Here is a 26937-nt window from a genome sequence, read left to right as displayed (position 1 = left end):
CCCCCCCCTTAATCTGGGTGGGCACCATCTAATCAGCTGCCAGCGAGGCCAGCATATAAAGTAGGCAGAAATACATGAAAAGACTAGACTGGCCTAGACTACCAGCCTACATCTTTCTCCCATGCTGGATGCTTCCTGCCCTCGAACATTGGACACCAAGTTCTTCAGCTTTGGGACTTGGACTGGCTTCCTTGCTCCTCAGCTTGCAGACAGCCTACTGTGGGACCTTGTAATCATGAGTTATTACTACTTAATAAACTGTCCTTTTTATATATATCTATTCTATTAGTTCTGTCCCTTTAGAGAACCCTAATCCAGGTGGCCACTCTTGTCTTGAACTCACTAAGGCAGAAAAAGCCATAGAGAATAGACGTGACATGAGCAGACCCAGACAGAGAAGCCAGGACACCATCGTGGTGGTTCTCAGTTCCTACACCAGCCCCTCATGAGGCACAGCTGAAAATTACCTTTGAGTTTGCAAAACACCCCATTTCCTTTTACCACCTTCTCCTTTGGCTGGGAGCCAAAGAGTACCCTGTCTTTAGCCCAGAGATATAGGAGACCAGATAGGAAGAGGTTACTGTGGAAAATGACTAAAGCTGTGGGAAAGAGGCAAGGTAGATTCTAGAGGCCTTCTTGTGCAGCCAGGCCTGGAGTCAGAAGATGGAATGAAGGAAGTGGCAGGTCACCTGCATGGTGGAGGGGGAAGGAAGGCCTTACCCAGAGACACCAGGAGCCCACAGTTTTCCAGCATCACCTCCTGGTACAGGGTCCGCTGAGCTAGGTCCAGCTGCCCCCACTCCTCCTTGGTGAAAGTCACAGCCACATCATCAAAGGTCACAGACACCTGGAAAGTCAAACAGAATTAGTAGTATTGGCCTTTCAGCTGCTGAATGAGATCACAGACTGTGCTCCACTGGAAAAGGTGTACAGTGATGGCGGCCTGAATCACAGAGCACCTCCTGAGGGCCTAGCTCTGTGCTGGGCTCAAGAGGGAAGATAGATGCTTTTAACATAATACCAGAGTAAAGGAGAGAAGCCTCCTATTTAACGGCCGTTAGAGAATGACACAGGACAACGGAAACAACTTGTGGACTGTGAAATACAGAAGCTAAGGGCTCTAAAACGACAGGGAAATGGGGAAATGGTAATAATAGCAATAATGGTTACAACGGCAGTACCTGAGTCTCACTGGTCCAGCTAGGTGCCTGCCCCATGTTGAAGGCTTCACATCCTGTGTAAACACAGTGACTAGAAGTTCCTAGCTCCAAACACTTGAAACTGACACTTGACAGCTCTTACCTCAAAGACAGCATTTCATTTCTCTGAGCCTTGATTTCTGGATCAATACAATAACACTTCCCACCAGTAACAGTTGTTAAATTTAAAGTATTCAATGCTCAGTGTGCTCTGGGATTTTTATTAATCCTTTCACAGTCCCTGCAGTCAACACCATCATCACCTTCACAGTCAATGACTTCATGCTAAGGAAGCGCTATCAATTCACCCAGTCACACATCTCACCACCATAGATAGGATCTAAACATGGGGTTACTATGATTCACGGTCTAACAGTGTAACTCCAACACTCCCCCAACATCAAAGCAAATCTAATGCGATGAAGTTATAAGCATTTCCACTCATTTCTAACATTAAGTCTATTTCAATTAGCCCTGAAAAACGTATCTGTGGGCCGGGCATGGTGGCTCATGCATGTAATCCCAGCACTTTGGGAGGTCGAGGTGGGCGGATCGCTTGAGGCCAGGAGTTGAAGACCAGCCTGGCAAATATGGTGAAACCCAGTCTCTACTAAAATACAAAAATCAGTCAGGTGTGGTAGTGCATGCCTGTAATCCCAACTACTCGGCAGGCTGGGGCAGGAGAATTGCTTGAACCTGGGAGGCAGAGACTGCAGTGAGCTGAGAGTGCACCACTGTACTCCAGCCTGGGCGACAGAGTGAGACCCTGTCTCAAAACAAAAAAAAGTATGTGAACACGGGCACAAAAAGCTCAGCATTCCTCACTGACCCCACAGAGCGGCACTGGAAGGGCTGCATCTACTTGGGGAACGACAGGCTCCAGACCAGCTTCCCATGCCCTCTGGGATCTCCCTGGGTCTCCCAGATCCCCCAAGGAAATTCCACAATGAACCAACCATCGGCCTCTTTCCTTACTGGGTTCCGACAGAACTTGTCTCTGACGCCAGGATACTTTGGGGCCACGGAACACGAGCGGCCAAGGATAATGCAGGCTGTAGCGATGAGAGTAAGGGCATCTGACTGGCCACAATGTCTGCAGTAGTTGCGGATGGCTAGAACATCCAGGAAAAGACCACACACTGTTGCCCTCCACGTCTCAGCGGCCGCAGGAAAACCATGGCAACCTTACACACCCTCCTGAGCCTCCTTAAACATACAACATACCTTGTCTCTGCTCGCGCATTTGTCGGCTTGCTACTGCCCTGCCCTCCCCTTCCCCCCTCAGGCCCCCAATTCATGCTGGAATGAGACCTGGTCCACCAGAGAATGCTTGCAGGCCAAGGATGATGGGAGTCCCCAGAGGAAGCATCATTCACTCAACAACCTACGGAGCTCCTTCCAGTAGGCCCAACACTCCTTACGGCCAGGTATAAATTAAGTGGCAAACCAGCTCCACACACCAAAGCGAACGACGACTGCGAAGACAAATCCAGGGGATACCTGGGCTCCCACCCACTTCGGAAACCGCCTCAGCGCTGGCAAGGAAGCGGCAACCGCGAAGCCACCGTCCACTCACCTGGGCCCGGTCCGTCAGCACCGCTGCCGCCATCACGTCACCCCCTGGGCCGCAGAGCTGGGACAGAGGAGCCCCGGGCGGCCTGACGGACCCCACCTGTGCCCGACCCTGGCCGGTTGCCCGGGGCTTCCAGGCGCGCTCGGGGCCGCCGCCTCCTCGGTGGCAACGGCGTTCCAGACGCAGGGCCGCCGCCTCCTCGGTGGCAACCGCGTTCCAGACCCAGGGCGCCGCCCCTGGAGACCGCGGGGCTGAAGGGCGGGGGAGGAGAGACCGCAGCTTGACGGCGACCCAGGAACAAACCCACGGAAGGGGTCAGGCTCGTACAAAGGTGCGGCGGGGATTCCTATCCTACTCCCCTGCTCGGTCCTGACTAGGGACCTGCAAAGCGGCCCCGACCGGGGCCCTCAGTGGCTACAGACCTCTCCAGACAGAAGTGCAGAAGAAAATGGCGTCCGCAGCGAGCAACCCGGAAGTCCCGCCCCCACCGGCGTGAGCCGTCGGAAACGTCCCCGTCCTAGGCCGTCGTTGGCCCAGCTCCCGCCGTACGCATAATGCACAGCCTTCTAAGTAGTGTAGTTTTCCTCATGTGTTCAACAACGGGAGGAACGCTTCACGGCGCAAGTTTTCCTCCCAGGGAAAGGCACTCCAGGACCCGAGGAGACGCTCCAGACCCACCTCTTTACGGTGGGCACAACTCGAGGGGAAGGATGGAGGGAGGGAACCGAGGGGCAAGGGTTACATTGCATTCTTCTCTCGGGAAAATCGGAGCTCGGGAGACAGGGACTTTCCTTCAGGTCAGGGCACAGGCAAAGGCGCAGAACTGGGTCCTCAGCTCGCCTGGCGACTGACCCCCTTTCACATCCCTCCTCCCCGGATCATCATCTTGGAAGACACAAAAAAGCCGAATGATCATCTGGAAGCCCTGCCCCGACACGTTGTGTGCGCAAACTGCCCTCTTTTGAGCCTTCTTTGGACCAGCACAGCCTCTACGTGATGCAGGGAGTCATGTATTTGGCCCAGACCACACAAAAAGTGGATTTGCCCACTTCTGAGGTGGGGAGGCTGCAAGTGGAGGAGGTTCGGAGGCTCAGGATGGTTAGTTTGAAATGTCTACAGAACCACAAAGTATCTCTGTCACAGGCAATTCGACTTACGACTGAATGTTGGAAGAAGGTTTGAGCATGAATATATGAATTTAGGAGTTACCTTACACTGTTATTTCAAGTCATGATATTGAGTGAGACCATCAAGGCAATGCATGTAGATGGAGAAGAAAATACACAGAGCATGAGCCGGGGACCAAGTCTACATCATTAAATGGTTGATGACAATATTACCAGAAAGGCCAGGTCCTTGCATCTAGATCCTGCTGCTTGCTGCACAGAAGGCCAGTCAGCAAGACAATGAGTATTGTCAGGGATGAAGGCTTTATTCGGTGCTGCAGCTGAGGAAAATGGGAGATCAATCTCAAATCTCTTTCCTCAACTGACTAAAACTAGGGGTTTATACATCAGGGAAGAAGTGTAACTATGTTTGAGAAAACAGGAATTAGGAAGGGGTAAGGAAGAGGAATGGGTCAACAGGCAGCAGATGGTCAGTTAGGCAATCATCATGGGTAAGGGGTATAGCATCTCGTTTTTCCAGATGTGGTAATCCAGTAAGTTTCAGTTTCTTTATACTATCTGGGAGGCCTGATGCTTGGTTTCCTGAGAAAGGAAATCAGATAAGACAAATAAAAGTGTCTCGAGTTTTAGGAAGGGGAGGCTCAATGTCTATAATGTGTTGATTCAAAAGAAACCATAAATATCAGTTCTATGGGACACTGGAGCTGGTTTCAGTTCCCTGTTTCTATTTATCAATTCCTCAATCATGGGGAATCTGGACGTGATCTTTCTGGCTGCTTTATGCTGAGGAGGGGTATTGTGGGTGGCTGCATACCATAGATGACCACGTGGCCACTCAGATTAACTCAAAGGTTAATCTAACGCTATAGTTTTCTTTCTTTCTTTCTTTTTTTTTTTTGAGACAGAGTTTTGTTCTTTCACCTAGGCTGGAGTGCAGTGGCACGATCTCCGCTCACTGCAACCTCTGCCTCCTAGGTTCAAGCGATCCTCCTGCCTCAGCTTCCCGAGTAGCTGGGATTACAGGTGCCCACCACCATGCCTGGCTAATTTTTGTATTTTTAGTAGAGACGGGGTTTCACCATGTTGGCCAGGCTGGTCTCAAACTCCTGACCTCATGATCCGCCCACCTCAGCCTCCCAAAGTTGAGCCACTGCACCTGGCAGCACTATAGTTTTCTTTGGAAACAGTTTTTCTCTCTCTAGTCCCTGACTTCCATCAAAAGCAAATCACAGCAGGAACAACTTACCTGCAAAACAAGCTTCAGTCCCACCATACTTATCCAAACTACAGCAAGAATCACTGTTTATACAATTCCTCCTAAATTGGCTTTGCTGGAACCCCTCATAAGGAATCTCTCAGACTCAACACCCAAAGACCTCTTAAGCCCAGCCAAAGATCTGTCTGCACCTGTACATACCTGCATGAATTGGGTGAAACCCGTTTTTCTTGAGGCCCCAGAACATCTTGAGGTTCCTAGGCCTATCAGAAAATGACACTGTATTTACTACAGGCCAGGAACCCCACAAAGGAACTGTGTGCACAAGATATGAGGCCAGTCCTTCCAAGGGCTCCCATCAGCTCCATAAAGTCAGTCTTTTTTTTTTTTTTTTTTTTTTTTTTTGAGACACAGTCTTGCTCTGCCGCCCAGGCTGGAGTGCAGTGGCGTGATGTCAGCTCACTGCAAGCTCTGCCTTCTGGGTTCGCGCCATTCTCCTGCCTCAGCCTCCTGAGTAGCTGGGACTACAGGCGCCTGCCACCACACCCGGCTAATTTTTTATATTTTTAGTAGAGATGGGGTTTCACCATGTTAGCCAGGATGGTCTCGATCTCCTGACCTCGTGATCCACCCGCCTTGGCCTCCCAAAGTGCTGGGATTACAGTCATGATCCACCACGCCTGGCCCATAAAGTCAGTCTTAATTCCTCAAAGCAGTCTCGCATAGTTAAAAATATGCCATTCCTGTCAAAGCCTTGGGAAAAGACCCAGTGCCTACAATTGTGTTATAAAATAATATGGATTTTAAAAAATAGAGATAGGGTCTTGCTTGTTTACCCAGACTGGAGTGTAGTGGCACGATCATAGCTCACTACAGCCTCAAACTCCTGGGCTCAAGCGATCCTCCTGCCTCAGCCTCCCAAGTAGCTAGAAAACAGATTCTTATTGAACATATGCTACACCTAGCTAGAAAACAGATTCTTATTGAACATATGCAAACAACCACATTGCCGTGAATTAAGAATATTCACAAATAGTTTCTGAATTCTGGAGAAATCAGGCAGAGAGAGAAATAGCCCTCAAATTTTGTTTACAAATGTATATTCAATTGTTAAAGGCTATAAATAGCTGGAAAGAAAAAAGTTTCATAGAGACAGAAAGTAGATTTACAAAAAAAGTTCTCCTGACTCAAAAACAAAACAAAAAGAATCAGCAATGTTTCAAACACACACAAAAAATAATAAAATAAATTCAGTACTTGAAATAAATCTCTGTGTTTGTGTGTGTGTGTTCCATTTCTCCCTAATTCCATTTCTCAACTGCATGAATCCTTAACTCATGAAAGATACTTTTTACCCTCTTGGCTCCACAGTTAATGGAGAAAAAAAAATCATCAACAGTGACTTCTAAGATGGCTTAATATACTATATAATAAAATATTTTTATTTATCATGAAATAAATTAGTACAGTCCATGAAACTCCTGCTCTGCTTCATATTGCATAAACATATGTATACATAATTATGTATTTTATGAATATATCAGCCTTCTAATTAGAGTCCTGGAAGTTTTCTCTCTAGGCTGATAGGACAATCTCCAAAGTTACCAGAAACTTGAATTCAAGTGTTCTTTTTATGAACTCTCTCAAAGAAGCCCTGAACTGTAGCTGACTGTAAGCCACCTTTGGAGAAGACTCAAAGTCAAACAATAATTGTGGATGACAAAAGTCTTAGGACAACCATAGTTAAAAAACAATGGACAAGGAAATTTGGTTATTTCTGTGACAAACGATTATGACAAATGTACTTTTCTCAAGTTTTAAGAGTGGGAGGGTCAATTTCTAGGTTCAGTCAAAAGAAACCACAAACATCAGTTCTATGGGACAACTGGGTTGGTTTTCACAAGAAACTGACAAGCTCACATTAGGAGTTCTAACTGTCCTCCCAGAAAGGTATATTAAGCAATCTTAGAAGTCACTATTGATGATTTTTATTTTCCATTAACTGTAGAGTCAAGAGGATAAAAAGTATCTTTCATGAGTTAAGGATTCATGCAGCTGAGAAATGGTATTAGGGAGAAATGGAATACACACGCGCGCACACGCGCACACACACACACATATTTTACTGCAAGAAATGGGGGTGGTGTGCGGTGGCTCATGCCTGTAATCCCAGCACTTTGGGAGGCTGAGGAAGGAGGATTGCTTGAGTGTAGGAGATCGGTCAGAGTGGTGGGAGAAGCTATAAGAAAAGGACGCAAACCTTCTGAAAGGTCAGAAGTCTCTGCATAGCTTCACGGGAGAATAAGCTGAAAGCAGCTGTTCTCTTACCCTAAGGCAGAGGGCAAGGAGTAGGTACAAGGAAGTGTAGGGGAATTTAACATAAACAGGCTTGTTTACTTATGTTAACTAGGAACCAACATTTGATCATTCACGAGTGAGGCTGCCCCCAAAAGGGGGAACAATAATGTTAATTACCCACAGACTGTGTTGGCTCCAGGCTTTTGGCATTATGTCTGTACTGAATAAAAGCAAGCAGTCCCAGCTTATCAAGACTGCTCACTCTTCAGCAGTCCCCTAGCTGCTCTTACACTACATACCTGTGTCTGAGTACTCCTTTCATCCATCGCTCAGCCAGGGTCTACAGGACAGACCCGGCTCTTGAGGCCGGGAGTTAAGAGACTAGCCTGTGCAGCATAGTGAGACCATTCCTCCACAATAATTTTTTTTTTTGAGACAGAGTCTCGGCACTGTCACCCGGGCTGGTGTGTAGTGTTGCAATCTTGGCTCACTGCAACCTCCATCTCCTGGGTTCAAGCAATTCTCCTGCCTCAGCCTCCTGAGTAGGTAGGATTACAGGTGCCCGCCACTGTGCCTGGCTAATTTTTTATATCTTTTAGTAGAGATGGGGTTTCACTGTGTTGGCCAGGCTGGTCTTGAACTCCTGACCTCATAATCCGCCCACCTTGGCCTCCCAAAGTGCTGGGATTACAGGTGTGAGCCACCCACCTTGCCTACAATAAAAATTTTAAAAAAAGATAGAAGAAGAAATGGGCTATGTGATTGCAGGGACAGGCCAGTCCCAAATCTGTAGGCTAGAGTTCAGGCCAGCAGAATTGAAACGTGGATAGGAGCTGAAGGTGCAGTCTTGAGGCAGAATTTCTTCCCCAGGGAACCCTGTTTTTCTCTTAAGGCCTTTCAACTGATTAGATAAGAACCACCTACATTATCAAAATAACTGATTATAGATGTTAACCGTTTCTATGAAATACCTTCATAACAATACCCTGGTCAGTGTTTAATACAATTTCTGGGTAGTACAGCCTAAACAAGTTTACACATATAGTTGGCAATCATACTCTACCCCTTGTCACCTTAAACCATCTTTAATCTTCAAATAAATACAGTAAAAAAGGCTTATTTTGGCCAGGTGTGGTGGCTCACACCTGTAATCCCAGTACTTTGGGAGGCTGAGGTGGGTGGATCACTCGAGGTGAGAAGTTCGAGACCATCCTGGCAAACATGGGGAAGTCTCTACTAAAAATACAAAATTAGCCAGGCGTGGTGGCACACACCTGTAATCCCAGCTAGTCAGGAGGCTGAGGCAGGAGAATCGCTTGAACCCAGGAGGCAGAGATTGAAGTAAGCTGGGATCGGGCCACTGCACTCCAGCCTGGCGACAGAGCGAGACTCCGTTTCAAAAGAAAAAAAAAAAAGATTAAAAAAAATAGAGATGGGGGTCTTAATATGTTGCCCAAGCTGGTCTTGAATTCCTGGCCTCAAGCAATCTTCTCACGTTGGCTTCCCAAAGTGCTGGGATTACAGGCGTGAGCCACAGCACCCAGCCCTGGATATTATATGCTTGCTTGAAAGCCTGTGGCAGGAAATCCACTTCCTACCCCAATCTCCACATGGCTCAGCCCCTCATCTCCCTATAGACTTTGATCTATGTCACATTCTAAATAAGCTGTTTCCTGATCATTCTAATGAAAATTGCAAACAACTCCCCAAACTCTGACACCCTGATCCACCTTACTCTCCTTTTCCTTCTTTTTGTTATAGCACTGGTTAACTTATCATGTCTATTTCTGTATTATAATTATTGTTTATTTCTGACTTTTCATCCAGAATGTTAGCTCCATGAGGGTAAGCGTCAGTGATGATTTTGTTCACTGCTGGATCCTAAGTTTTTTTTTTGTTTGTTTGTTTTTTTAATTGAGACAGGGTCTTGCTCTGTCACCCAGGCTGGAGTGCAGTGGTGCGACCTCAGTTCACTGCAGACTTGATCTCCCAGGCTCAATCGATCCTACCACCTTAGCCTCCCAAGTAGCTGGGACTACATGCAGCTATGCCACCATGCTCGGCTAATTTTTATTTTTATTTTTGTAGATGGGCTTTTGCCATATTGCCCAGGCTGGTCTCAAATTTCTGGGCTCAAGCAATCTGCCCATCTCGGCCTCTCTAAGTGCTGGGATTGCACGTGTGATCCACCATCCCTGGCCTGTATCTCTAGTCTTTTAAACCATGTCTGGCACACAGCAGACACACAAGAGATATCTCAATAAGATCTAATGGAACCCTGGCTCACAATCCTGAAAAATGATGGACTGAAAAACTCTCTCTGGGAAGCCAAGGCAGAAAGATTGCTTGAGGCCAGGAGTTTGAGATCAGCCTGGGTAACATAGTGAGACACCATCTCTACAAAAAAATTAAAAAGTAGCTGGGTATGGTGGTGCACAACTGTCGTCCCAGTAACTCAGGAGGCTGAGGCTGGAGGATCGCTTGAGCTTAGGAGGTTGAGGCTGCTGTGAGCTGTGATGGTGCCACTGTATTCCAGCCTGGGTGACAGAGGGAGACGTTGTCTCAAAAAAAAAAAAAAAAAAGTTGTTAAGAGCTGAGCATGGTGGCTCACACCTGTAATCCTCAAAACTTGGGAAGCTGAGATGGGAAGATCACTTGAACCCAGGAATTTCAGGCTGCAGTGAGCAATGAACCTGCCACTGCACTCCAGCCCAGGCAACAGAGCAAGCCCCCAACTCTTAAAAAATTTTTAAAATAAAAAAAATTGTATTGAAGTTATCTTTGTTACTTTTATATTTTACATGTGTGTTGCTGCTTTGCATAAGCTTATATTTAGGATGTCAAAAGGCTTAAGACAATCTGATTTATTAAATGTGTAAGTCTTACTGGGTTTACGAGAGTAGCTCAAGGGTGTTTTTATTTTATTAAAGGTCACTCTGCTGCCCAGGATGTAGTTGCAGTGGAGTGACCATAGTTTTCTGCAGCCTTGACTTTTTTTTTTTTTTTTTTTTTTTTTTTTGAGATGGAGTCTCTCTCTGTCGCCCAGGCTGGAGTGCAGTGGCGTGATCTTGGCTCACTGCAACCTCTGCCTCCCGGTTCAAGCAATTCTCCTGCCCCACCCTCCCGAGTAGCTAGGATTACAGGCACCTGCCACCATGCCTGGCTAATTTTTTTGTATTTTTAGTAGACACGGGGTTTCACCATGTTGGCCAGGCTGGTCTCGAACTCCTGATCTCATGACTCACCCACCTTGGCCTCCCAAAGTGCTGGGATTACAGGCGTGAGCCACCATGCCCAGCCAACATTTTAGGCCGAAGCAATCCTCCTACCTCACCCTCCCAAGTAGATGTGACTGTGGGTGTGTACCACCATGCCCAGCTAATTTATTTTTTAATTTTTTGTAAAGACAGGTTCTTGCCATGTTGCCCAGTCTGGTCTTGAACTCCTGGGCTCAGGTGATCCTCCCACCTCAGCCTCCCAAAATGTTGGGATTACAGGCATGAGCCACCCACACTTGGCAGCTTAAGAGTTTAAAAACGACATTATAAGACTTTGCAAGAGGCTAGGCGTGGTGGCTCATGCCTATAATCCCAGCACTTTGGGAGGCCAAGGTCAAGGTGAGAGGATCCCTTGAGCCCAGCAGCTCAAGATCATCCTTGGCAACATAGCGAGACCCCATCTCTACAAAAAAAAAAAAAAAAAAAAAAAAAAGAAGAAAAAAGACTTATAAGTCTGTCATGTTAGACGTTTGAAGAGTTGAGAGAATCTATTGTCCTGTTTGTACGACAACTTTGAAATATTTACCAGGACCCACAAATGATATCAGTATTCAGTAAGTAAATTTCAACTATCAAAGGTATAAACCAATTGAACACTGACCCAAAAACAAAGAAGAGTAAATGATTTTAACAGAAAAATACTAAATCTATAAATGATTTTTATGCTTGTTTGTTATCTTTGAGGATTTAAGGAAAAATGATTTTTCTACATAAATTTAATGCTCTCAATATTAATTATAACTCAACTAAGAAACGATGTTTTTCGGCTGGGCATGGTGGCTCACGCCTGTAATCCCAGCACTTTGGGAGGCTGAGGCAGGTGGATCATGAGGTCAGGAGACTGAGACCATCCTGGTTAACATGGTGAAACCCCGTCTCTACTAAAAATACTAAAAAGTAGCCAGGTGTGGTGGCGGGCGCCTGTAGTCCCAGCTACTTGGGAGGCTGAGGTAGGAGAATGGTGTGAACCCAGCAGGCGGAGCTTGCAGTGAGCCAAGATCGCACCACTGCACTCTAGCCTGGGCGACAGAGCGAGACTCCGTTTCAAAAAAAAAAAAAAAAAAAAAAAGAAACGATGTTTTTCCCACATCCCCTCAGATCCCAGAAACTCCATTGACATCTGGCAACATAAGAAACACTCAAAACATATGAGCTCAATTTAAAAAATGAGTCTCAGAACTTTTGATTTCTCAATTTTCTCATCTGAAAAAGTAGAGGTAGAAATCTCCACTTTAGGTTGTTTTTAATTTTTCAAATTTTGTATGGAATATTAAATAAAAAGGGCTTGGCACCTGCCTGGAAAATAATAAATGATATTTATATTCCTTGGTGCCTTAAAAGTCTGGGGGTTGGGGGAGGAACAGAGTCCTAGCATCCCCAAATGTGTGTGTCCACCTCCAAAACTGGTGCAGGTACAACTTAAAGCCTCCAAACTTTACAAGCCCTAACAACCTCAAAGACTCAATTGCACTCCTCCTGGAGCATGATGGAGCCAGGCAAGCAATGGGTCAGTGTCATGGTCCAGGGATCATTTAGCAAAATCCAGAGACATTTTTCACTAACATATATTCGGGATGGGAGGTGCTACTGGTGTTGATGGTGTTGTGATACCTCAGTTCTTGTCTTCTTAGTTTAAAAGAACTTAAATAAGAATCACACAGCAAGAGATGGAGCACAGAGTAATTTATTGTAAAGCAAAAAGAATATCTTGAAAATTAGGTGAAAAATAGACAATACACCCTGAGAGAGAGAATTCAGGCTGGGGTGCTCCTAAGGATTAGACAGCAAAGACTGGTGCTGGGGGATTCCCTTTATGGCAGACTTCCATGATTATTCATGAGGAGGTGGGAAAGAGGTGTTACTAGTAACCATGTTCTGGGTGCTCCTCTGGGTGCACATGTGCAGTAGCTGTACACACTTGTTCATACGTCACATGTCTCATTAACATCTTAAATCGCCACCCATGGGTGTGTTTTTTACTTTTTTTTTTGAGATGGAGTTTTGCTCTTGTCGCCCAGGCTGGAGTGCAGTGGCGTGATCTCAGCTCACTGCAACCTCCACCTCCCGGGTTCAAGCAATTCTCCTGCCTCAGCCTCCTGAATAGCTGGGACTACAGGCATGTGCCACCACGCCGGCTAATTTTGTATTTTTAGTAGAGACGGGGTTTCTCCATGTTGGTCAGGCTGATCTCGAACTCCCGACCTCAGGTGATCCGCCCACCTCGGCCTCCCAAAGTGCTGGGATTACAGACGTAAGCCACCATGCCCGGCCTGTTTTTTACTATTATAATGAGCAAAGGGTGTCTGAGGAAAGGTAAAATCAAAGCGCACATGTTCCTACAGGTGAAATTCCCTGCTGAAGAAAGCTTTGCTTGAATGAGCTGAACTACCACTCGAATGCTGAGGCTTATTGTGTTGATTGTATGGACACCCTGGTTGCTGCGTCCCCAGGATATGGTCACTCCTTGACTACCTATCCTGCCTCACTGGTATGTACTAAAAAGAGGCCAGTGATGCTGTTAAAGTTATTAAACTTCACAGGATGTCCCACTGCAACCAAAAATTATCCATCCCATTCTCAATGCCAAGATTGAGAAACTCTGCATTAAAGGAAAGTAACAAGAAAGGATTGGCCGGGTGCGGTGGCTCACACCTGTAATCCCAGCACTTTGGGAGGCCGAGGTGGGCGGACCACCTGAGGTTGGGAGTTCGAGACCAGCCTGGCTAACATGGTGAAACCCCGTCTCTACTAAAAATACAAAAATGAGCCAGGTGTGGTGGCACCTGCCTGTAGTCCTAGCTACTCGGGAGGCTGAGGTAGAAGAATCACTTGAACCTGGGAGGCAGAGGTTGCAGTGAGCCCAGATCATGCCACTGCACTCCAGCCTGGTGACAGAGCAAGACTCCATCTCAAAACAAAAACAAAAACAAAAAAACAAAAAACAAACAAACAAAAAACCCAAAAGGGTTAGGTAAGGAGAAGCAGATCAGAGTTTAGCGCTCTAGGCTACTCAATGGTATCTTTAAAATCTTCCTTCTTTTTCTTTTCTTTTCTTTATTTTATTGTATTTTATTTATTTATTTATTTATTTAGTCACCCAAACTGGAGTGAAGTGGCACAATCATAGCTCACTGCAGCCTCTGCCTCCCAGGCTCAAGCGATCCTCCCACCTCAGCCTGCAGGGTAGCTGGAACTACAGGCGCCTACCACCACACCTGGCCAATTTTTTTGTTGGGGGGTATTTTTTGTAGAGACAGGGTTCTGCCATGTTGCCTAGGCTGGTTTCAAACTCCTAAACTCAGGCAATCCACCTGTCTTGGTCTCCTAGATTTCTGGGATTATAGGCATGAGCCACCGTGTCTGGCTAAAACCTTATTTATTGACATCTTCCACTCTAATTAAACCTGCACATTAGAAACAAATTTCTTTTTCTTTTTTTTTTTTTTTTGAGATGGAGTCTCACTCTGTCCCCCAGGCTGGAGTGCAGTGGCGCGATCTCGGCTCACTGCAAGCTCCGCCTCCTGGGTTCACGCCATTGTCCTGCCTCAGCCTCCCGAGTAGCTGGGACTACAGGCGCCCGCCACCATGCCCAGCTAATTTTTTTTTTTTTTTTAATATTTTTAGTAGAGACCAGGTTTCACTGTGTTAGCCAGGATGGTCTCGATCTCCTGACCTCGTGATCCACGTGCCTCAGCCTCCCAAAGTGCTGGGATTACAGGCATGAGCCACCGCGCCCAGCCAACACATTTATTTTTCTAAACCCATTACTCTCATCTGTCAGATTACTTTTATCGTGTCAGCCCTCCAAACCCATCCAAACTACAGCCAGGACATATCTAAATGTAATGGTTCTACTTTTCTAGTTTCAGTTCTTTCTTACATAGACAAAGACACATGCACAGAGCAACATTGGTATTAGAGGAGCATGGCATCTATATTAGTCTGTTTTCATGCTGCTATGAAGACCTACTCGAGACTGGGTAATTTATAAAGAAAAGAGGTTTGACTCACAGTTCTGCATGGCAAGGGAAGCCTGGGGAAACTTACAATCATGGCGGAAGGTAAAACAGGCACATCTTACATGGTAGCAGGTAAGAAAAGTGAGAGCCAAGTGAAGGGGGAAGCCCCTTATGAAACCATCAGATCTCATGAGAACTCACCATCGTCAGAACAGTACGGGGGAAACCATCCCCATGATTCAATTATCTCCTCCTGGCCCTGCCCTTGCCACATGGGGATTATTACAATTCAAGGTGAGATTTCGGTGGGGACACAGAGCCAAACCATATCACCATCCTTTTTCCAGCATCTGGTTTAATGTGGTGTTTTGACTGGTAGGCCTTCATTTTACTCAATAAGCATTTGGGGATGCAGAGTTTTCCCTGATCACCAAACTTGGCTTTTGTTTGCCCTTTGACTAAGTCTGATGTACTGTTTCTTACACTGTTACTTTGCTACTAATAATGGATATTATGCTATTGTATAAGTCTCCCTTTACAGCTTCATTAAAAAAATTAAAATTGCAGCCGGGCACGGTGGCTCACGCCTGTAATCCCAGCACTTTGGGAGGCCGAGGCGGGCGGATCACGAGGTCAGGAGATCGAGACCACCCTGGCTAACACAGTGAAACCCCGTCTCTACTAAAAATACAAAAAATTAGCCGTGCATGGTGGCGGGCGCCTGTAGTCCCAGCTACTCGGGAGGCTGAGGCAGGAGAATGGCCTGAACCCGGAAGTCGGAGCTTGCAGTGAACCGAGATCACACCACTGCACTCCAGCCTGGGGGACAGAGCGAGACTCTGTCTCAGAAAAAAAAGAAAAAGAAAAAAGAAAAAAAAAGAAAAAGAAAAAATTAAAATTGCATAGAAGTACGCATATACACACAAACGAGAGATGTAGAGAACCGGTTAACTCTAAATAAGGCCTACAGATTGTAGCAATGTCAATTTCCTGGTTTTAACATTGTACTATATAAATATGTCATCATTTGAATAAGCTGGATGAAGAATACACAGAACTCTGCACTATTTTTTATAATTTCTGCAACTCTATAATTATTTTTAAAATCTAAAAATGCAAATTAAAAAGGCACTATTTTAATTTCCAAATATTTATAAGTGTTCCCACTCTTTTTTCTACATTTATTACAACATTTATTTACAGTCATTTTATCAGTTGTGCAGCCTAAACCAACAATATCCTGTTTAGTCATTCCTAAGATGCACTATTTCTGACATGGAAATATCCTGAAATTGGGAAACTATTGACCCAACACCACCTGTGATAAAACTGCATGAACACCTTTCTAAGATGAAGGACCAGCATCACAGCAGCACATCAGGCCAACAAAGGCAGAAGCCCAGCAGCAGGGAGAGGGCAATCGCATGAGGACCCAGCAGCAGGGAGAGGGCAGTCACACGAGGACGGCAGCAGGGAGAGGGCAGTCACACGAGGACGGCAGCACGAGGTCAGCGCACCAACATTGTAGGTTGCAGGCTTATCCTGATGACAAGAGCGATGGACCTCACCATGTGTCTGTAAACGGCAATTTTTGTTTTTTGTTTGTTTGTTTGTTTTTGAGACGGAGTCTCGCTCTGTTGTCCAGGCTGGAGTGCCGTGGCACAAACTCGGCTCACTGCAAGCTCCGCCTCCCAGGTTCACGCCATTCTCCTGCCTCGGCCTCCCAAGTAGCTGAGACTACAAGCACCCGCCACCACGCCCGGCTAATTTTTTTTGTATTTTTTAGTAGAGTTGGGGTTTCACCGTGTTAGCCAGGACGGTCTTGATCTCCTGCCCTCATGGTCCGCCTGCCTCGGCCTCCCAAAATGCTGGGATTACAGGCGTGAGCCACTGCGCCTGGCCTGAAAACGGCCATGTTGCTACTTAAATGCTAAACCTTTAATGGTGTATTAATAGACAGTTATTAAGTTGCAAATTAGGAGCTTAAATCTACATAAATCAGCTGTGTACTGACTGTATCTCACAGTAACAAATTCACCCAATCTGTATCTTGTCTTCTTTGTAACAGTGTTAAATATTAGCATATCTCGCTCTCAGGTGTGATTCCAGCAGCTGCGCTGAGGCCATTGCTGCTCCCGAATCTCCACTTTCATTTGCCTTCACTGGTGTCACTGTCGCTGTCACTGCTGCTGTCAGTATCACTGTTACTGGTCAATGCAGTGAAGTTGCCTAGGGCTTCCTTTTGTTCCTGGTTGATTGCAAAGTCAGTCATTACTCTCTGGGTGAGGCCCTCACAAATAGGTAAGCTGAGCCACCTCTACTACCTCAGTGGCCTGGGAGGGGCTGTTAGACACTCTTGCACTGTCCATAAACTCATTCAGCAACTCATTTCTAGGGATCTTATTATGCTTCCTAAAAAGCCCCAACATTTTCCAGGCTTCCTGGATTCTCCCAGCCATTAAAAAGAGGACAGCTGGCTGAGCGCAGTGGCTCATGTAGGTAATCCCAGCACTTTGGGAGGCTGAGGCAGGTGGATCACCTGGGGTCAGGAGCTTGAGACAGCCTGGCCAACATGGTGAAACCCTGTTTCTACTAAAAAGACAAAAATTAGCCAGCATAGTGGTGGACGCCTGTAATCCCAGCTACTCAGGAGGCTGAGGCAGGAGAATCACTTAAACCTCGGAGGCAGAGGTTGCAGTGAGCCGAGACCATGCCATTGCACGCCAGCCTGGGCCACAAGAGCGAAACTCCGTCCCAAAAAAAAAAAAAAAAAAAAAAAAAGACAGCTCTACAGTTGAGACAGATAGCTGGCCAATTCAGAGCAGTGTGTCTGACAGGCTGGCTTTCATACGTAGATTTGATATCAGCAGCACAGTCAGCAAATGCTACCTGAAGCTCTGGTGGGTGCTTATCCATTGCCATGAGTGTCAGGATCTCTTCTCTCAGGTTGTTGCAGAAAGTGTGACTATATTCTTTACTATCTTTCCAAATTTGAGTAATCACTTCCAGCCAGTTGGCCACATCCAATGCTCGGAGATCTATCAACATTTGGGAGTGGGGAAAGAAGGCTGAAGGTATCAGGTCCTCATACCACTTCAAGGTGACATCAATTCGTTCCATTAGACAAATCAAATTGAAGAACATGGAATAATAGGAATTATGCCGTTTATCAGGTCCAATGAATTTTCAGTTGTCTCTGGTATTTAAAAGGCCATGTAGCCGGGTGCAGTGGCTCACGCCTGTAATCCCAGTACTTTGGGAGGCCGAGACGGGCGGATCATGAGGTCAGGAGATCGAGACCATCCTGGCTAACACTGTGAAACCCCATCTCTACTAAACATACAAAAAAAATTAGCCAGGCGTGGTGGTGGGCACCTGTAGTCCCAGCTACTCGGGAGGCTGAAGCAGGAGAATGGCGTGAACCCGGGAGGCAGAGCTTGCAGTGAGGCGAGATTGCACCACTGCACTCCAGCGTGTGTGACAGAGCGAGACTCTCTCTCTCAAAAAAAAAAAAAAAAAAAAAAAAAAAAGCCATGTATTTGGTACGCAAGTTCTAGATTTCTGAGAGATGAAGATACTCTCATGGCTGACTGAAAAAGCTTATCATCATCCAGGTCCTTTGGGGGAAAATCTCTTTCCCATTAATTCATTCATTATATCATAGATGATGAAAGATGATCCCTTTGAAGGGTTTCCAGGCTGATAAAACAGCTGAATAATATGGTGATATGTTGCAAGCGAGGGTTCTAGTCTGATGGCTTTCATTTCACATAGAATCTGTAAGGCTGGCAATCTTGCAAGTACATAAAATCTTCGGAGACATTTCAGAATGGTATTAAAAGTCTGTAGATTTGGTTTCACCTTCTGTGCAACCATTTGTCTTAGCAGCTCCAGTATATTATTCCATTCTTCCTCAAATTTCTCATTTATCACCAATACTGTTGCTTCAATCACTGCATTAAATGTGTATACATCAGCACAGAGTCTGTTGTTTAGTAACTCAGTGTACAGGTTTAATGCCTGCTCATAAGCTTGATGCTTCACCATTCCTCGGATCACTGTGCAATAGGAATGTGCATTTTTCCCTGGCATTAGAGAAAACATTCTCTCAGCGTTGTTTTGTGCTCACCAGGTAACTCCAAATTGATCACCAGCTTTCCTCCTAGACCTCTTATTATTTTCCTCTTCCAATTCTTCTGACTGTTCAATTTGTTGAAACTGATAATCAGTTGAGGGCTCCTGGTCACCATAGTAACACAATAAATCCAAGAGACTATATGTTGTTACAAGAGACACAGTGGTTCCTGCTTGCAAAAGCTCATCAAACATGTCCACAGAGACTTTGACTTTTCTGAGCTTGATTCATTCCTTGAGAGTGGCTTCACTTATGTCTTTGATCTGAGGTTCAAAGTACTCAGGCATTAAACACAGTGTATGAGGTTCAGCTATGTCTTTCTGAAAATATTTGGAGTATGAATTAATAATGAACTTGGCCGTATTCTCCCCGGATTTCTTTGCCAGTAAAAATGAACGAGATTCTGAAGAGGATGTTGGTATGAGGTAAGGATTATCTTGAAACACGCAAGGTACAGCCGTGGGAACCCTGTTTACTGTGGATGCAAGAGCCTGAAGAACGGCTACTTTATCCCAAGTTTTCTTTTTTGGAATTACTACTTCTTCAATCCCTGTTATATCAGTTCCTTCAATATTTGAGAGGGTTGCACTTCCAGAATAAAATCTCAGCTGTGTGCTTGTTCACATAGACCTGCTGGCTGACCCGTCAGTGGCTGGTCAAGCCTGCTGCAGAGCCCCAGCCAGCGAACAGCAGCTACAGCCGCCATCTTTGACTTCTCTGCCAAGTGCTCCCACTCTTACACAATCATTCAACATCCCATTTCTGACACCACATCTAAAGCAAAAAAACTAACTGTTCTTTTCTTTCAACTCACTCAAAACAGAACATTTGTGTGACCAAATGAGTGGAGGTTTTTTCATCCATCCCAGTTTTCCAGGAGACACCAGTAGGTGTCCTATAATTCAAATCTGACACTATCTACTTGAAGGAAGTGTCACATCCCATAGGTTGAGGACTAAGTCCCACAGAATTGCCCTTCACTTCAGATGCCAGTCACAATCACCTGGTTGTGGCCTGTGCTTTTGACCAACTACATTAGAATTGGGGTTCCCACAACCCCCTAGAACTCATTTCTAGAATGGCTCATAGAACTCGGGGAAACACTTTGCTTATGTTTACTGTTTTATAATAAAAGATATCACAAAGGATACAAACAAACAGTCAGAAAAGATACACAGGGCAAGGTATGTGAGAAGAGGTGTGGAGCTTCCATGCCCTCTCCAGGAACACTGAATGTGTTCAGCAATCTGGAAAGCTAAAATCTTGTTGTCCAAGAGTTTTTATAGAGCTTCATGTCAAGCCATCCCACCCTTTCCACTTCACAGAGGTTGGTGGGTAGGACTGAAAGTTCCAACTCTCTAATCTTTCTGGTGACCAGCTTCATCTTGAGGCTGTCTAGGGTCTCCACCCTAAGCCATCTCATTGGTATAAACTGAGATGTGATCAAAAAGTCATTAAAAATAACAAAAGACATTTCAACACACAGGAAATTCCAAGGGTTTCAGGAGCTCTGTGATAGAAATAAGAAAGTCAAGCCTACTTGAGTTTGGAGAGGCTAATGCTGGGTAGTGTGAGCACCAATACAATGAGATAAATGGATTATAATGCCGCAGATAAAAATCATCCACTCCATGTGGCTTCTAAAATAATTAACTAACTTAAAATGGATGGGATGGGATGGGCCGGGCGCGGTGGCTCACGCCTGTAATCTCAGCACTTTGGGAGGCTGAGAGGGGTGGATCACCTGAGGTGGGCCGGGCGCGGTGGCTCACGCCTGTAATCTCAACACTTTGGGAGGCCGAGGGGGGTGGATCACCTGAGGTGGGCCCGGCGTGGTGGCTCACGCCTGTAATCTCAACACTTTGGGAGGCTGAGAGGGGTGGATCACCTGAGGTGGGCCGGGCGCGGTGGCTCACGCCTGTAATCTCAACACTTTGGGAGGCCGAGGGGGGTGGATCACCTGAGGTCAGTAGTTTGAGACCAGCCTGGCCAACATGGTGAAACCCCATCTCTACTAAAAAAAAACAAAAACAAAAACAAAAAAAAAACCCAAAAAAAACAAAATTAGCTGGGTGTGGTAGCACACGCCTGTAGTCTCAGCTACTTGGGAAGCTGAGACAGGAGAATCACTTGAAATCGGGAGGCGGAGGCTGCAGTGAGCCTAGATCGCGCAACTGCACTCCAGCCCGGATGACAAGAGTGAGACTCTTTCTCAAAAACAAAAAAAAAGAAAAGAAAAAAGAATGGGATGGGTAAAGTTCTTTACAGGAGTGTCAACTTATAAGTATAAAATGTAAAGAAGTAATAGAAATAGAATCCCCACAAGCAGTGATCACAGATTCAGGGAAGAATCATCAACAGAGGCTAAAACTAGAGGCTGAAGTGGGGGGACTTAATATTATTCAGACATTGCAAAGAATTGACCCACAGATTACTTATTAATTACAAAGAAGAAAGAGTGGAGAGATCTAGTAGATACCATCTTAACCAAGTAGTCAAAATCCAAATCTCCCAAATGGACAAACTGTATACTTAGGTGCCTCCTTATAGGACATAACATCATTGGCAATTCTGGGGCAAAATAAATGTGTTCATTGAATTATTGTTGGAACTTTGGAAAAGGTATACATTTTTCAAAATAAATAACTTGTCCTTCAAATCTCCAATATACTGAATACCTGATATTGGGCAAATTACACGTCTTCCTGGGCCTCAGTTTCCTCACATTAAAAATATGGAGATAATGTTATTACTTGCCTGCTCAATTGTAAGGTTTACAAAAAGAAAATACGTAGTTAATAACTCAGGGCTTGGTAAATGTTTGCTATTTGGAATAAACTGATGGGAGGCTACATGCAATTTCTACTTACCCCTTTAGCATGAAGATACTAAAAAAAAATTGTTTTAATGTTAATACTGGTCAGCTGTGCCTGAATTCCTTTTTTTTTTTTTTTTTTTTTTGAGGCGTAGTCTTGCTCTGGTGCTGAGGCTGGAGTGGCAGTGGCGCGATCTCGGCTCACTGCAACCTCCACCTCCCGGGTTAAAGCAATTCTCCTGCCTCAGCCTCCTGAGTAGTTGGGATACAGGCGCCCGCCACCACGCCTGGCTAATTTTTGTATTTTTAGTAGAGACGGGGTTTCTCCATGTTGGCCAGGCTGGTCTCGAACTCCTGACCTCATGTGATCCACCCACCTCGGCCTCCGAAAGTGCTGGGATTACAGGCATGAGCCACCGCGCCCGACCTGTGCCTGAATTTCAAAGAGAGGAGGGTAAAATGAGGCATGTCCCATCTCCTTCCTATCGCGGCCGAACTAGTGTTTCCGGTTAAGTTTGCCATGCTCTTAGCTGAGAGGAGGGGTCCATTCAGTTGGCTGGGAGCTTAGAATTTGATTTTTAGTTTACAGCTCTGTGATTCACCCGGGAGAGATGCAGAGTTAGGACAACAGGAGAGAAGCGAACCCGGAGAGCAACGCCTCCCAGCACTGCCTGACATCAACCGCTCTGGCAGGGCGACCACGCGGCCGGGGCCCTCCGGAAAGCAGCCTTAATCCCCGCCCGACCGCAGGTCTCGGGCCACGCAGCGCTAACAGCCGCGGGAGGGGGACCCAAACGTCAGCGGTCCCCAAATACAGGACCCTACCTTGCTCTGGCATCTCACCGGCCCTCCCTGCTGCCACTGAGCGCCGCGGAGAGGACGAGCCCGGCGCGCCCCGCCCCCTCGCGCGCCCCGCCCCCTCGCGCGCCCCGCCCCCTCGCGCGCCCCGCCCCCTCGCGCGCCCCGCCCCCTCGCGCGCCCCGCCCCCTCGCGCGCCCCGCCCCCTCGCGCGCCCCGCCCCCTCGCGCGCCCCGCCCCCTCGCGCGCCCCCGCCCCCTCGCACGCCCCCGCCCCCTCGCACGCCCCGCCCCCTCGCGGCCCCCGCCCCCCTCGCGGCCCGCGGCCCCCGCCCCCCGGACCCCCGCTCGCGCTCCCCGGACCCCAGCTCGCGGCCCCGGACCCCCGCTCGCGCCCCCCGGCCCGGGGACGCATTTCCCTTGCCTGCACCCAAGCCGGTAAAAGGGCAGACGTGGCAGCTCAAGGCGCCTGCGCCCAGCAGGTTGCAGGCCCCACTCTCTCAGGGAGACCAACATACTTGCGGAGCCGCACAGAGAGGTGAAGCTTAAAAGAGGTACCGGTGATGATATCCGGGCTTTTGAGGGCACGGAATTGAAAACTGGAGTGAAACATACAAATAAAAGGAAATAAAAGCTCATCAAGTTTTCTTTGTGTTGCTGATGGTGTAGCACAGGTCAGATACTCGCCCTGCAGAAAAGTCAGGTCAGGAATTTAGGATGCAGGATGACTTCTGATTCTTCCCCAGAGGCACTACCTGTGTGCACTGTTGGCCTCCCTTCTCCACGACTTCACCTGCATTTTTATGTACAATTTTAAAGGTTCTCGATATGGAATTGGAAATGGAATCCTGTGTCTTTTGGTAAACATTTACTAAAAGGCATCACATCTTGTTCTCCGTTTTCAGGAAGTTCACTCCTCCTTGTCAGTACTTTGACTAGACAATTAAAATAAACATAGATCCAATTTAGAAGAATGCTATAAAGATACAAAAAACATAAAAACAAAATATTATTTTAAAATACTGAATTAAGAAAACACTTGCAGGACATAGGACAAATGCAGCATAATATTTAAGTCTCAAAGAAATGTTCTACCTAAGAAAGAAGCAAAGAATCTGAAAGCTAATAAAAGAAAAATAAAATATGGCAAATACATTTGATTAAAAGTGTTCAAGCACGCTAGCGCTCAAATTAAAAATAAAACAATGAGATATTATTTCCAGCTCTAAGATTTATAATGATTGAAAATTTGATGGCTGGGCATGGTAGCTCATGCATTTACTGTCAGAGCACTTTTGGAGCCCTAGGGGGTAAGATCGCTTGAGCCCAGGAGTCGGAGGCTGCAGTGAGCCATGGTTGCACCACTGCATTCCAGCCTGGGCGACAGAGCAAGACCCTCTCAAAACAAATAAATAAATAAATACAATTTAAAAAAGAAAGAAAAATATTTTAAATAACTAAACTGAAACAGGTCAGGGTCACTGGTCTCATTGTCTAAGGTGTTATCTAAGCTCGTGGTCTCATGACCAAGAAAATTAAGGAGCGTGGACACAAACAGTGAGGTTGGATCAAAAATAGAAGCAGAGAGTAAAATGGTGGTTGCCGGGGGCTTGAGTGAAGGGGAAATGGGGAAATGTTGGTCAAGAAGTACAAATTTTCAGTTTTGCAAGATAAGTTTTGGGGATTTAAGGTACATAGTGACGTTATTTGACATGTACATTGTGACATTATGTGACATAGTTAACAAATTAGAAAAAAAAATTTTAAATTGGATGATCAGAAATGAAAAAAACAATACTACTTGACATTTGCTAAGAGGATAGATTTTTATTTTTTGCGACAAGGATAGACCTTAAGTGTTCTTCTGCATGGGGGAGAAAAGGATATTTTTTTTAAAAAGTGTTCTGACCGCACACACACACACACACAAAGGGTATAATTTGAGGTGGTTAATACATCAATCAGCTTGATTTGATTATGGTAACCATATCATATTATATGTGTATATCAAAATTCAAATCGTATATTTAAAATATGTATCTTTTTTGTCAACTGTACCTCAATAAAGCTAAAAAGTAAATACAAGGCCCAGGGCAGTGGATCACACCTGTAATCCTAGCACTTTGGGAGGCCGAGGCAGGTGGATCACCTGAGGTCAGTAGTTCGAGACCAGCCTGGCCAATATGGTGAAACCCCATCTCTACTAAAAATACAAAAAATTAGCCAGACGTGGTGGCAGATGCCTGTAATCCCAGCTACTCAGGAGCCTGAGGCAGGAGAATCACTTGAATCTGGGAGGCAGAGGCTGCAGTGACCTGAGATCACCCCACTGCACTTCAGCCTGGGCAACAAGAGTGAAACACTGTCTCAAAAAAAAAAAAAAGTAAATACAATATTTAATTGGAGTAAATATAATATAATGTAACATATATGCACACACACAAAGGGTGTGGTTTGAGGTGGTAAATACATCAATCAGCTTGATTTGATTATGGTAATTATATCTTTTGTGTATTTCAAAATTCAAACTATATTTAAAATATATATCATTTATATCATTTTTGTCAACTGTACCTCAATAAAGCTAAAAAGTAAATACAATATTTAATTGGAGTAAATATAATATAATGTAATATATATGTACACACACACAAAGGGAGTGGTTTGAGGTGGTAAATACATCAATCAGCTTGATTTGATTATGGTAATTATATCTTTTGTGTATTTCAAAATTCAAACTGTATATTTAAAATATATATCATTTATATCATTTTTGTCAACTGTACCTCAATAAAGCTAAAAAGTAAATACAATATTTAATTGGAGTAAATATAATATAATGTAATATATATGTACACACACACAAAGGGTGTGGTTTGAGGTGGTAAATACATCAATCAGCTTGATTTGATTATGGTAATTATATCTTTTGTGTATTTCAAAATTCAAACTGTATATTTAAAATATATATCATTTATATCATTTTTGTCAACTGTACCTCAATAAAGCTAAAAAGTAAATACAATATTTAATTGGAGTAAATATAATATAATGTAATATATATGTACACACACACAAAGGGTGTGGTTTGAGGTGGTAAATACATCAATCAGCTTGATTTGATTATGGTAATTATATCTTTTGTGTATTTCAAAATTCAAACTGTATATTTAAAATATATATCATTTATATCATTTTTGTTAACTGTACCTCAATAAAGCTAAAAAGTAAATACAATAATTGGAGTAAATATAATATAATGTAATATATATGTACACACACACAAAGGGTGTGGTTTGAGGTGGTAAATACATCAATCAGCTTGATTTGATTATGGTAATTGAATCTGGGATTCAATTATATGTGTATATCAAAATTCAAATTGTATATTTAAATATATATCATTTTTGTCAACTGTACCTCAATAAAGCTAAAAAGTAAATATAATATTTAACTGGAGTAAATATAATATGTAATATATCTGTTATATGGTATATCAAGATTATATTATTAATATTATATATTAATATAATATATTTAATGATAATATAATTATAATGAATATCCAATATTGTGTCAATTAATTTAAAGCACATTTATAATTGTAATACTAATGTTCAAGTAGATGTACATATAATTTACATCAAAATATAAACATCAATATAAACAAACAGCAGAAAATTCTGCTCTAGATTTCCAGACAAATTTGGTGAAAAAATATTGTGATGAAATGTCATATACAGAAAAGAAAAACAATTTATCATTGTTTTAATTAAATAAAGTGTAAAATTTTCCTGTTAAATGTTATTTCATGTCATTTTCCTGGTTCGAAATTGTTTCTCCAAAATGGCTTGATATCTGGCCAAATTTTATTTATGGATAGTCAAATATATCAATAAATGAAATTCATATCACTTCTTTATGTGCTCTTAATAACAGTTAAAAAATTACACAAATATAGACATGTAATAAAATTTTCCCTTTTATCCTGCACTATTGTAGATTACAGCTATAAAAAGTGACAGCCACCAGCCAGCTTCCCTCAAGACTGATCAATGACTGATCAATGACTGGTCAATGGTGAGACATCTTTTTTCAATGCGCAGGTACCCTCACTTGCATAACTTGCAGGGTCGTGCACGTGCAGGGTGGGATCTTCTTTTTATTTACAATCTTTATGTTTTGTTAAGATGGACTTTTTACATTACTTAAAATATACATTGCTTTCAAATACTATTTATCTTGATCACAGAATTTTTAGCACCACCTTAAATTTTGTTCCTGTCTCACTAGCCTCACTCTTATGTGATACTAATTAGAAATAACACTTTTAATTTATAAGGAGAGGCCACTATGTCAAAAGATAGGTGGAGAGCATAAAAACCCCATTTACAAAAGACTATATGTATATAATAAGCATTGAAAAATATGTGTAAGCAGAATAGTACTCAAAAATATTCTTTTTTAAAAAATTGGCAACTATTGCAAGCTTGTCTCCCTGTTCAGGTTCCAGTGATTTGGGACGAATTTTTTTCCCACA

General features: G+C 44.4%; 1 protein-coding gene, 1 long non-coding RNA gene and 1 pseudogene across 4 annotated transcripts in view, besides 6 other annotated features; all 3 read right to left on the bottom strand.

Annotated features, from left to right (window-relative positions):
- Positions 1-3222, bottom strand: part of ZNF264 (zinc finger protein 264) — a 31347-nt gene extending 28125 nt beyond the window's left edge. For 2 of the 3 annotated variants that reach the window (NM_003417.5, XM_011527522.3), the window contains exons 1-2: positions 2776-3222; positions 721-847 (exon numbers count right to left, since the gene is read on the bottom strand). In NM_003417.5, coding sequence (NP_003408.1) covers positions 721-847; positions 2776-2808 — 160 coding nt within the window. In that variant the 5' untranslated portion in view covers positions 2809-3222. The remainder of the gene's footprint in view (positions 1-720; positions 848-2775) is intronic. The other variant, XM_047439724.1, reaches the window with a different exon arrangement.
- Positions 2707-2976: a silencer, noted in NCBI's record as "silent region_11072". NCBI's record gives its function as "represses an Ori minimal core promoter by ATAC-STARR-seq in GM12878 lymphoblastoid cells {active_cell/tissue: GM12878}" and the evidence as "EXISTENCE:reporter gene assay evidence [ECO:0000049][PMID:35858748]".
- Positions 3147-3206: an enhancer, noted in NCBI's record as "active region_15126". NCBI's record gives its function as "activates an Ori minimal core promoter by ATAC-STARR-seq in GM12878 lymphoblastoid cells {active_cell/tissue: GM12878}" and the evidence as "EXISTENCE:reporter gene assay evidence [ECO:0000049][PMID:35858748]".
- Positions 3217-3306: an enhancer, noted in NCBI's record as "active region_15125". NCBI's record gives its function as "activates an Ori minimal core promoter by ATAC-STARR-seq in GM12878 lymphoblastoid cells {active_cell/tissue: GM12878}" and the evidence as "EXISTENCE:reporter gene assay evidence [ECO:0000049][PMID:35858748]".
- Positions 3327-3386: an enhancer, noted in NCBI's record as "active region_15124". NCBI's record gives its function as "activates an Ori minimal core promoter by ATAC-STARR-seq in GM12878 lymphoblastoid cells {active_cell/tissue: GM12878}" and the evidence as "EXISTENCE:reporter gene assay evidence [ECO:0000049][PMID:35858748]".
- LOC124904780 (uncharacterized) lies at positions 15791-22478 on the bottom strand. The gene is made up of 2 exons (XR_007067355.1): positions 22426-22478; positions 15791-16225 (listed from the first exon to the last, which is right to left on the bottom strand). It is a non-coding gene; the product is annotated as an uncharacterized LOC124904780 (long non-coding RNA).
- On the bottom strand, positions 16614-19504 carry LOC100132009 (pentatricopeptide repeat domain 3 pseudogene; annotated as a pseudogene).
- Positions 22451-22510: an enhancer, noted in NCBI's record as "active region_15123". NCBI's record gives its function as "activates an Ori minimal core promoter by ATAC-STARR-seq in GM12878 lymphoblastoid cells {active_cell/tissue: GM12878}" and the evidence as "EXISTENCE:reporter gene assay evidence [ECO:0000049][PMID:35858748]".
- Positions 22842-22891: a silencer, noted in NCBI's record as "silent region_11071". NCBI's record gives its function as "represses an Ori minimal core promoter by ATAC-STARR-seq in GM12878 lymphoblastoid cells {active_cell/tissue: GM12878}" and the evidence as "EXISTENCE:reporter gene assay evidence [ECO:0000049][PMID:35858748]".

This window comes from Homo sapiens, chromosome 19 (genome assembly GCF_000001405.40).
Source record: "Homo sapiens chromosome 19, GRCh38.p14 Primary Assembly".
Lineage (NCBI taxonomy): Eukaryota > Metazoa > Chordata > Mammalia > Primates > Hominidae > Homo > Homo sapiens.
The sequence above is the reverse complement of the archived record's forward strand: the minus strand, read 5'-3'. Positions and strand labels throughout refer to the sequence as shown.